This window comes from Homo sapiens, chromosome 2 (genome assembly GCF_000001405.40).
Source record: "Homo sapiens chromosome 2, GRCh38.p14 Primary Assembly".
Classification (NCBI taxonomy): Eukaryota; Metazoa; Chordata; class Mammalia; order Primates; family Hominidae; genus Homo; species Homo sapiens.
In genome coordinates this window covers 162,903,824-162,916,368 of record NC_000002.12, presented here as the reverse complement: position 1 = coordinate 162,916,368, position 12,545 = coordinate 162,903,824, and the positions used below count along the sequence as shown (strand labels likewise).

General features: G+C 38.1%; 1 annotated feature.

Annotated features, from left to right (window-relative positions):
• Positions 11,704-11,873: an enhancer, noted in NCBI's record as "experimental_55438 CRE fragment used in MPRA reporter constructs". NCBI's record gives its function as "activates a minimal promoter by MPRAs in K562 erythroleukemia cells, with activity observed for the non-introgressed 2:163761091 variant allele {active_cell/tissue: K562}" and the evidence as "EXISTENCE:reporter gene assay evidence [ECO:0000049][PMID:34662402]".

The window sequence follows — 12,545 nt, the reverse complement described above, 5'->3', positions numbered from 1 at the left end:
TGTCCGAAGCAAGGTGGCTGGCTGTCTTCATGTGGGAACTTAGAGAGAGAAAGAGGGGGCCTGAGTCCCCCAAAACGTGTAGATTCGCCCTGGTCGAAATTCCACTGCCAATCACGCCGCACATACGGCCTGGGGACTTTTGACCAGTAAGGATAGGAGAGAGCCTTCCTCCCTCCCTGGCAAGGCAGCCACACCTGTTCACCTCCTGTTCTTCAGGCTACACCAGGTGTCATCAATTGCCAGAGGGCTATTAGAGTTTGTCCTCCAGAAGACTGAAAATGAAAGCAAAACTCTAAACTCTCACCTGATGGGGCGGCAGCCGTCAGAAGTCTTCACAATGAGACCTTCTGATTCGCCAGGAAGTGGCCCTGGCTGGGGACCTTCACTTGTCTCCGTGCTTGGATGCTGTCCACCTGGAAGCTGGAGTTGGAGGAGAGGAAAGGGGGGAAGTAAGGGAGGAGTCCTCTAGCAGTCCCTGTATGCGCCATCATAATGTCATGGGTGCAACTGGCTGGGACCAGCGTCGCAAGTGGTAAAAGAATTTACTAAGACAGTCATGGGTAAAGAAGGCAGAACTGTTAGAGAAAGTATGAAGATACCTTGCGAGAAAGCAGCAGGCATAACAGCAGAGAAGGAGCTGTCTGCAAAGAGGCAGGGGCTGGAGGAAAGTTTTATAGGGTCCTGCTCCTGGGGCTACATGCAGAACAAGGTAATTTTGCCAGGGGGTTGTTTGTGATTCGTAAGAACAATTGTTCTCCCACACCTGGACCCGTTCCTCTTTGCTGCTTACTTATCTTTTTAGGACTCCAGAGAAACCCTCAAAGTTGCCAGCCTTTCAGGTCACTAGGTATATCCCTAGGTGTAAAACCTGTTGACTCCAGGTCTATCAGCCATTGTGTTTCACCCTTCATGGTGGGACTCACAAAGTATGATGTTATCCTTTGCTTTGCAGAGAATGTCCTGGCATACTGGACCTCTAAAATTTTCATTAACACGATGGGACCCTGAATTTTTATAGAGTTTATTGCTCAAAACCTGGAGTACATGTGGCTTACCAAGATTTCCATCATGCTAGCTATTTCTTGCTCATCCAGTCCAATTATAATAATGCCATTTATATAATAGTGGAGCAATATGATATTCTGTGAGATGTCCAGGCAGCCTGGATTCCTTCAAACTATGTTATGACAGAAGACAGAATAGCTACCAGAGCCATCAAGCAAAGCTGTAAATATATTCTGTTTTCTGTTCCTTTTTCTCTAATAAAGATACAAAAGACAACATTCACCAGATCAAATCAATGGTCACTTATCACGTTTCTGAGGCCATGTTACTCCATTCTAGCAAATATACCACATCTGACATCACAGCAATAATTGGGGCTACTGTTTTCTTAAATTTACAGTAATCTACTTTATACTCCAATATTTGTCCACTATATTTTGTTTTGTTTTTCAGAGGAAAGGCTTCTACATTCAATAAAGATACAATGATGACCACCAGCCCTGCATCTTTTAAGTATTTAAAGGTAATGCTAATTTCTGTCACTCCCTAAGAATGAGATATTGTGTTTTATTTACTCTTGGCTAGGGGTATGGATAGAGCATTTCCAGAGATTTCCACTTGGTTTCAATTGCTCATAACCACAGGCCAAGAACCCAGTATATGGGATGGCACCAACTAGCAAATATAACTGTTATACATTTGTGGACTCTAGAAATGACTATTGGGTGAGTCTATACATCTGATGGACCCATTGGGAATTATTCCTGGGCCAGGACGCCATTTATTATATATTCTCATATGATTGCACCGTAACAGGGTAGCCATGAAACTCTTCAGGTCTCAGGGTATCATATCATCTCAGCCTTGTGTCCAACATTCCTTAAAATGTTCAGCTATTTTTCTTTTTCTACTACAGTTACCTGAGTAAATACCTGAAGGCCCCTTTGGGAAAAGACTTGGCAGTTAATCATAGCCATGTACAATTGCTGTGGCTTTGTGGAGCCCTTTCGCCTGGTGACTCAGACTTTTCTTCAATGAATTTGAGGTCCAAAATCTGGCTCTGAAATGGAAACTGAGTAGGTCATCTTGGCTTTTTATCAGTATATCTGCAGTAACCCTCAGATTCTGATTACTTATCTTTGGTGTTATAGATGGAGTGATATACTTTTTGGCTACCTACCTAGGGTTACTCCTGGGATACTGTGTTCTATTAACCACCTCCATAACACTGAGTTGGGCTTCCTTGGCTTCTTGACTTAATTCCAGTCTTAATTATTGCCAGGGCGATTATGACCACATCCCTTCTGACGGTTAACAGCTACCATCTGGCCTCTATTGTTTTAGGTCCTATTATCCCCATTGCTATTAGACGTCTTAGTTCTGTACTGGTATTTCTCACTCACCTGGCCTAGAGACAAGGGCAATAAACTTCTCAGTAATACCAGGTCCAGTCTCGCCAACATAGTCATTATTGTTTCAGTAAATGCTGTATCCTACTGTTCCTCTACACCCCCATAAATTAGAAATGTCAATGGGCTTTCCAACCATATATTATATGTTTAACATACCCATATCTCTGAGACTTTTATCTCTTCTTCTACCATCTGCCTTGACAGTTCCAAAATTACCACCTCACTTAGAATGGGCTGTCTAAGCGGCATGCTACTAGGTGGCATTCTAGCTATGCATTCATATCATCTTCCAGGGCTCTTTCCTGAGTGATTAATTCTGATTCTTTGAAGAATATCATCCAGGTTTATATTCTACCCTCCCACCTTCGGCCAGCATCCTCAGAGAGCAGTCCCAGGCATACTCTCCCACCTCATACAAATTCATGTTGGTCAGGTCCTAGTGTCCCTTAGAGGTGTAATTCCTTTTGTCCCTTAGTAGGCCTGGTACATTCCTACCTAGGTGATTGTAAATTTTTGCCTAAATTATTTTCCTGATGGCCAAGGAGGTCGAGGGTCAGGGAGAGAAGGTTAATACTGAAGGAGGAATACCTGTTATGTTTTAGGAAAGAGGCCTCTATATTTTGTTTAGACAAAGGAGGTTGCTAACCCTTAGTGAGATTAATTGGGACTTCTGTAAACTGAGGGGATTGAGGGGGTGTTGGAGATTCAAGATGTCTCGATGTCATTTCAGGTATCCCCATTCTAGATGTCAGTATCTTATTCTTTCCGCACAAAGAATTTACCTTGTCATGACACATCTGCCTTGGTGGGGAATTTAACCTTACTTTGGAACTTGGCTACTCCTATAATTCAGTTCTAGGCCTGGTCCTCAGCCTTTCTCTGCTCTCTTGCTATTCAAGATGGGAATTTATTTGTATGCTACCAAGGAGGCCCTCTGGCTTTCACACTTGGCTTTTATTGCTGATTAATCACTTTTAGCTTGTTACCTTTTACCAGAATATTGATAGAACTTAGCAATAGCAACTCAAGTCCAATATCCTTGAAATCACCATACCTCCCATAATTCTCAAATGCCTAATGCATTGCACAAGGTAATGCTGTCCCTTCCACATTAAGTCGTCCCAGTTTGCCACTGATGAAAGTTTTAATAATTTTATGCTACCTTATGCTCAGGGGCTATTTGTGCTCACCTACTACCAATAATGGGATCCTCAATTTCATCTCCAGCAAAGGGCAGGTGATCCAGCTTTAAAATCCCACTCCGTGTCTGGTTTCTCTGACTCCACTGGAGTAATGGAGTTTTATCTCTGGGAAGCAAACTCTGAGCTACAGATTAGTATGTATGAAGAGGGTTTTTGTTTGTTTGTTTCTGAAATGGATTCTTGCTGTGTTACCCAGGCTGGAGTGCAGTCGAGCAGGGTCTTGGCTCCCTGCAGCCTCTGACTTGCAGGTTCCAGAGATTCTTCTGCCTCAGCCTCTAAGATAGCTGGGATTACAGGCATGCTCCACCACGTCCGGCAAATTTTTGTATTTTTTTTTTTTTTTTTTAGTAGAGACAGGGTTTCACCATGTTGGCCAGGCTGGTCTCAAACCTAGGATTACAGGCATGAGCCACCATGCCTGGCCAGGAGAGATTTATTAAGGAATTTCCTTGGGATCAACATTTGCAGAGGGAGGAGCATAAAACAAAAGGTGATTAGGCAGAGGGAGACCTTAAGCTGGGATGATGTCCTGACACATGCCTAAACTGGTACCATGGGAAGTTCTCGAAATGTAATGGTCCATGAGAGTGGTATCAAGTTGGGACAAGGAGACCTTTTTTATCCCCTTGTTAATAAGTCTTTGTATGCAAGCTCCTCCTGGAAGGAAGCTTGAAGCTGAATGAAGCAATTTCATTCAGCTAAGGCAACTCTCAAAGAGAACTGACATCTAAAGGAATCATCCAAGAGTGAGAAATAAATCCTTCACTCTGAAGGGTGATCTGAATGACACATCATAGCATCCACTGCATGAGGTGATACATTTCAGCTGGAGATACATCTTTCAAATTGAGGATGGAAACAAACAAAAAAAGTGACAAAATAATGTAAATAGTTCTTATTGTTGTTGGTTTTTAAATGTGACTAGGAGAGGAAAATCATTTAAAGAAGAAGGACACTCGTCTGTTATTCGCCTATTTCTTGAAACACAACTTATTGAGCAAAAAATCTTGCATTTTAAGTATCGATGGGATTTAGATGTGAATAAGAGATAAAGCTCTACACTCATGAAGATTATACCTACAGAAGGGTCAGATTATAACCTACAGAAGGGGTCAGATAGTAAATACATTAGCAAATATATATGGCAATTTCAGATAATTTAGTAATAAGCATATTTTAGTTTGATAATTTAGTGCATTTTATTGGGCACCAGCTTCATGCATATACTAAGTACTATATAGAATAGAGAAAAGTGTATATTTTGTTATTATCCTCAGTTAATTTACAATCTTACTGGGGCAATCAGAGAGGCAAATAGGAAATTTGCAAACTGAAAATGAATGTGTAATTAAGGTTCAAATAAATAAACCAAATAATAACTGCTATGTGGTGTTTCTAAAAGTATAATCACAAGTCCACCAGAGTCAGAATCACTTGTAAATTTTGTTAAAAACAAAAATTCTGTGGGCTCACCATTGATTTACTGAATCCAAATATCTAGAATGGAGCCTGAAAATGTGCATTGTACAAGCATTGCAAGTAATTTTGATATAATGTTGTGTTTGAGAGATGTATGTAAAAAATGGAAACTCAGAATGGATTAAAATAATTGCCAATGGGCAGAATTCAAGTGAGATCCATGGAGCCACAAGCATTGAGAAGAACCATGAAAATAGATGGAATTTATATCAGTGAAGATGGGAGAATATGTTTCAGGTAGGGGGAATTGAATCCTAGGAATGAATAAACGAGCAAAGGATATTTAAGACATTTTGAATAGATCATACAGATTATAATGTTGTGCAAACGAGAAACATAGGAAATGAAGTTAGAAATACATTTGTATCAGGTAGTGGAGAGCTTTGAATTCCAGACTTAGAAATTTTTACTTTATTCTGAAAGCAATGGAGAGTATTTATTTATGCCAAGGGAGAGTGTTTATTTAGGCAAAGTTTTGTGAACATTAACCTGGCTGTGGTGAGTAGGGTAACTTGAAATGAAGAGACACTGTAAACAAGATGTCAGTAAAGAGACCATTGAGATAGTGCAGGTATGATATGAACAGCCTAGATTTATGTAGTGGAAGTGGAAGAGGTAGATGGATGTAAGGAAGACTGCAGAAAGAATACTTCATACATGTTTTCATTTGCTTCTTTAAAAAAGTGAAAGCTGATATTTATTATCCCAAAGTATGCACTGAAGTGTAAATAAGGTAAAAATCTGATTTGATAACTGATAATTGTAACAATGCATGTCATGTGCCTTGTCTAGTCACATAGGGAACTGATGTTCAAAGAATGCCAGCCCTAGCACCAACTATTCTCATATGGCACAAACCTGTGCTCTTGTGAAAGGATAATTGACTATAGTTAGGAATTCTGGGTTCAAGTACCAGCAAGGTCTTGCTTTTTGTTAGGCTGTTGCTGTTTCTTCTGGAGTATGCAAAATGGCTCTAAGGTCCTTTTTAAGTTCTGAGATTCCAAGAAATGAAAAGCTAATAGGTATTATAATAGCTATCATATACATAAATATGCACCGTATTCCATAAAAAACAGTAGCAACTCCTGGAGCCTCTTCCAGGAAGAGATAATTCCCTTCTTTTCACATAAAGTTTTTTTTAATTCCTTTATTTGTACTGTTTTCAGTATACAGTATGCATTTGAGGTTAAAGGAATTTTTTTAAAACTTTAAGAAATAAGTCTTGTTCTATGAAAGAAGATAAACAATGTGGTATAACAAAGATTAGAACTGCCCATCTTATATTTGCCTATAGTTGTAGAAGCACTTGTAGAAATCATTTTTAAAATCCTGTTTCTAAGAAAAAAAAGACACAGAAGCATGAAGATGAACCTCTAAGGCAGGGAAACTGTAGAACACTCATCTCTGTATATTGAGTTTAAAGACCAAGAAATATGATTGGGAAATGTCTTTTGTGTCATCTATGAAGAGAAGTATAAGCTGGCTTAGGTCAGACTTGCCTTATTGAAATTCATATACTGCAAAGACAAGTGTTTTTAAGTTTGGAAAAAAAATTCTTCTCTCATCTTCAGTTTAAAATAAGACAACTTGCTTTCTGTGAAAAAAAATATTCCAGAAAACAAAAGAAAGTTTGGGAGGTGTGGGGAAATGTGTGCCTGGTGGTTTAGCTTTAGGCAATCATTTCTAGTCAAGCACATTTTTCTTTATCAATATTTATAGACAATCTGTAACAAAAATCAACTTAAAAATAAATCATGTTTATTTAGTAATACCAATGATAACTATGAAAAGTTTTGGTGTCAACAAGGATTTATTTCAAAATAGATTTGTTTTATACTAACAAGTATCCTGTTACAAAATATCGTATAATTTTAATCGATTAAATTTGTGATTCATATTTTAAAAAGTGATTATTACTTTTATGAAAATATAGTAGCAAATTTTTCAAGTATATTAAAATGATATTCAATATTCTAACTTGTATTTTATGCTTTTTTAAGGTTTATGTTTGTTGAATTTATAAATATATTGTTGAATCTTGGGTATTGAATTGGCTTCCTGGAATTTATCTAAGTTGATTATCCCTTATGTTGTGTACCAGTGTATGATATAAGCCCCACCAGAACAAAAAAATGTGCATATAGGTCTTTCTATTAATTTATTTTTTATAACCTAACATCATTTGTCTTGTTTCAGAACAGTCTGAAGATTTTTAGAATAAGTGTTTGTTATTTTTATGCTTTTCTTCTTCAAAATTTTTTTGCACCTTTACGTGCTTAAATGATCATAAGTTCAAGATATAATCAATATGAAATAAGATAAAGTATATGGGATATATTATTTTGTAGTCAGAGTTGTCTTTTAAACTCACTCTAACAGGACTAATTGGCAGAGACCAAGATGAGGGGAAAGCCAGGTCTGTTGTGATCTCTTTGCTGTTCTCTTCCTACAATGGTGCCTCCCAGCCAATGCCCACTTGTAGGAAGAGAACTGCAAAGAGATCACAGAGTCATTCCAGGGGGAGCCAAAGGAAGCATTCAGGAATGAGAAGCAGGATTTAGGTGAGGAGCCCTTCGGTTTCCTCTGGGATATCTTAAAGGTAGCTTAAGATCTTTGTCACTGGGAGACAGATTTTCAGATCTTGAAATTTATAGTTCCCCACACGATTTCCTCCAGATCTGCTTAGGAAGAATTAGTCTCCATCAACATTCTTTTGCAAAGAGAAAGGGAAAAATGGTCTAAGAAAGAGATTTTAATAACAGGTCAAGAAGGTTTGAATTTAGAAGGTATGTATCAGAACTAAATATTCTCATTAACTCCATAACTGTGAAAAGCAATTCCTAACAGAAGAATGCAAGATGTCAGAGGATTTGTGGAATAACTTCAAACTTTCATATCATGCTTGCTTACTTTTCTAATAATGTTCATTTCCAAAAAATATTTGAAAGAGTGGTGGAAGGGGAGCAGAAAGTTATATTCATTTTGTATATTTTTATCAGTTCTAGCCAAAGAACCATGGGAAAGTGATAGTTAATAGCAGGAAATCTGGGTCAGACATAAATGCATGATGATAAAGACCTGAATGTGTTTGAATTATGGCATTCAGAATAGATATTGGGAAATGGTTGCTGAATTATCATCTTGCTTTTGCAGAAGCTTTGTCTCAATTTGAGAGCCTAATTTTGTAAATACTGTGCTGCAAATTCCAAAGTGTTATTTTACTACATTGACTTAATTAGCAAAATAAGGCAATGATAGGTCAGATGAACAGAAAAAAAATATTCACAGCCACTTATTATTATAACTTTGGTTACTTCTGTTTTCCTTCCTTAGCTTCCAGTGCAGTGTTGTTTACTATATATGGAATTGCATGTCTTGATTTTATTTTGTTGAGTTTTATCTATATTTAATAAAAAAGTTCTTCCAGCCTAGCAAGCAAGTGCTGGGTAAACATGTATAGCCTGTAACATGGATCCTTGAGGCATGACCAGCAGATTGGCTTAAAACCTATAGAGTGAAACTGAAATTCCATGTTCCAATTGCTGAGACAAGTATAACACAGTGTATTTCATGTGTGGATACAAAATTCATTTGTTTCAGCCACTTGTCTCAAATAAAACAACCAGGTTTTGTTGCCTATAAGATCCATAGTCAGCATATTGCCACTCCTTAACTGGTTTAAGGGTTAACTAGGCTGGCTTTTCCCAGTTCATCCCCTAACACCTCTGCCCCAAAGCAATGTCCAAAATTCTGGAAGGTGGCAAAGCATGCATATGTGCAATACATCATCCCTGCTCAGAAAACCAGTCAAAACACACGACCAGTTGATCATGGCCTGGCAGTGACACCTTTTCATTGGTAGTGTCACATATTTAGCTTACTACTCTGATTTCTATGACTTTTTGTCTCCTATATTTGCATATTAAACTGAGTCTGATAATACAACAAAGAAAGAAAGGGCAGTAGCCCAACTAATCAAATGAGCTATTCTCCAAATCTGGCTTTCAAGAAAAAAATACAATCAATTTTGAGTTTTTTGTTCTTTAGTTTAAAAAAAAAATAAAATCCTTGTGGATAGGGATGATGTCTTACATTTAGAATGTCATTAACATTTGCTCTTACAATTACCATAGCAGAAAAAGAAAGGCACAGTCAGGCCTTGGGTGTACTTTTGAAGGAGTCAAATTTACCTCCAGGACTTTCTACCTCTCCAACGGCATCCCTCATAGATCATCTGGAATACACTCCCCAGATCCTGAGAAGTGTATCCTAGGTCCCTCCTTCCTAGATCCTAGGGATTGCTGGAATTACTGAAACCTGAAGACCCATGCAAGCCATCCAATCAAAGTTGAAGCCCTCATAACATCCCTTTTTCCGTCTCCTACCCCACCTCTTCCTAACCAGCCTATACCTTTGAACTAGGAACTTCATCAAATTATAATTTCCAAAACATCAAAGACCTTGGATCTCTTACTTATAATTTTATCTTCCATTTAGTATCTATAAGCAGATCAATGTATCTTTGAATAAATAAATGATCCATTCATTGCAGCTGACTTCTGCTAATCATTAGAATAAACATTTCTGCTTCAGATCATTTCAAGCAACATCTCAAATGTGATCATAAACGCAATTTCATTTCCTTTAGGCCATCTCTGGAAAAGAGTCAGCTGAGTCATGGCCTGAATCCTCCAGTGGAAATTAAAGCAGCATTTACAGGTTTGCTTGTCTTTTCTTTTTTTCTTTTTTGCAAAACAGTTTCACATTTTGATGACATTTGCTACCAAGAGAATGGAACCTAGCTTTGAGTTTTCATCTTTCTCATTTATCCAGAACTATTTATTTATATACTTCTGTGGGCACTCTGACTGTTTTACTGTGTTGTTAAGCTTTTCAAATAGTATAATTAAAACACACAAACTACATAGATTTCCTTTAATGTTTAGGATATTACCATCACAACTAAAAGCAATTTGGGATCTGAAAGGGCTTTCGATAATTTAGCAATTTTTGCCTCTTGCCTGTGGACTATTAAATACCTAACTCAACAAGAATGAATGATTTGAGATGTGATTTCAAAATATTACCATGATGATACAATTGCTCCCTTGTATTTACTTAAGCCTGGGTAAAGATGGCCGAGGGATATTTACAAACAATAATAGTTTTCATATTGTGAAATGTCTCCAATTTCCTGCCTTCCACTTTGATTATTTATAAAAGGCTTATTTTGTCATTGTGTGGTAGATAGTAAATCTAATGGCTTAAATATTAGTTTGAAATTAACAGGAGCAGCATCAGAAAAGTCCTCTATGATGTTTTTTACGGGGAGATAAATACATGCTTCATGAGAGTTGGTGATTAATTAAATGTAGGAAGAAGCTGTGAGTGTACATTAGTTTCCTAGGTCTGCTATAACAAAAGGCCACACAAACTGGGTGGCTTAAAACAATAGAAATTTATTATCTGACAGTTTTGGAGTCTATAAGTCTGGAGTCAAGGTATCAGAAGGGCCACAGTCCCTCTGAGACTCTGGGTAAAATCCTTCTTTGTCTCTTCCTAGCTCCTGATGTTGGCCATCAATCCTTGGCATTCCTTTTCTTTGGTGTCATCACTTCTGTATCTATTTCTGACATTACATGGCATTCTCTCTGTGTGTCTCTGTCCATATTTTCCTCTTGTTATGAGGACACCAGTCATATTGAATTGGAACCCATTCTGATGACTGTATCTTACTTCTTCTGCAAACACTCTAGTTTCAAATAAGGCCACATTCTAAAGTACTGGGAATTAGGATTACAACATTTATTTGGGGGGACATAACCCATAGTAAGGAGTTCAAGAAAGATTTAAAATATTCATCTTGGACTACTGACATGCTGGTTAGGCCAGTGATGGAAACTGAGATTATAGGAAGAAGATGAATGAGAGAAAGCTTGGGAAAAAAAGAAAACAGTTTATGGGAACTATTCTCAGCTATATTAATTGTGCTTACCCAAGGAAACCACATAGAACAAGAAGAGGCTGTCAGTACCTTGTAGGTGAATAGCATTTTAATGAGGAAGAGAAGATAGAAAAAGAAGCCAAGAAAGAATGGGCAGAATCTTGAGAGAAAATTTAGGGAGATGTGTAATAAATTAAAAGACAATAGAATTTCAAAGAGAGCAGTGATCAATAGTTCTAAGTTGTATGTTTCACCTGGAAGGAAATGTTAAAAATCAACAGTTTTGTTCCTTACATATAATGGATCAGAAATTGATAATGCATTTCAATTTAAAAAATAACAAAAAACACTGCATATATGCTGAAGCCATAGCTAGGCATTAATTCAACATTGAGCTGAGCAAATTCCTAATTTTACCATCACCATGAAGGTTCCCTTGATTGTTTAATATGAGATGGCCAGAATGCAAAAAAATGATGCCAGCTCTGTTTGTAGGTGTTTGTGAATGTGTGAGCTGCTATGTGGTAAGTCCACAACAGCCTGGTCAAGCCCAGACACAGACAAACCAGCCCCCTGCCATGGCCTGCTCTGTGGCCATCATCAGCAGTGATGAGTACTTGCAGATCGCATCAGAACAGAGACCAGATAATTATATTCATGAGATGAGTTGGCCCTGTAATTATTATTTAAGTTGCTAACAAGTCCTAAGATTGCAATTACAACCTAGAAGTTCCTGGGTTTTGATCTTTTAATGAGTTACATTTAGAAGGCCAAAGTCATTACATGTTAGGAACAAAGGCCATTCAGTAACCCTCCCACCACCTATGCCACTTTATAAATTAAATCTGGAACTTTTTTGGCTTTTTGCCTTAAATTATTAATAATCAAAGCGTTGCAACTCACCATGTGGCATCCCATTTGTAGCGAAGTAGTTGAGTATAGTGGAAAAAGAGCTAGACTGGGAGGTGGCATTCTGGGTTATGGTTCTGGCTTTTCCAGTAGTTTCCTACATAAACATGAGCTGATGACTTACCTTCAGAAGCTGTAGTTTTCCTTACTTGTAAAAATAGTGGTTTGGAACATGCTTATAAATAAAACATTCAACGATTGTGTTAGTCTACTCAGGCTGCCGTAAGAAAACACTACAGACTGGGTGGCTTAAACCAGCAGTAGTCCTCAACATTTTTGGCACCAGGGAGCAGTTTCATGGAGGACAGTTTTTCCACCAATGGCGAGCGGATGGTTTCAGGATGAAACCATTTCACCTCCGATCATCAGGCATCAGATGCTCATAAGGAGTGTGCAACCTAGCTCCTATGCATGTGCAATTCACAATAGGGTTCACTTTTATGAGAATCTAATGCCACTGCTGACCTGACGGGAAGCAGGGCTCAGGTGATAAAGCTGTCTTGCCTAACGCCACTCACCTCCTGCTGTGCAGCAGGGATCCTAACAGGCCAAGGACCAGTACCATCCGTGGGTTGGGGAACCCTGGCTTAAACA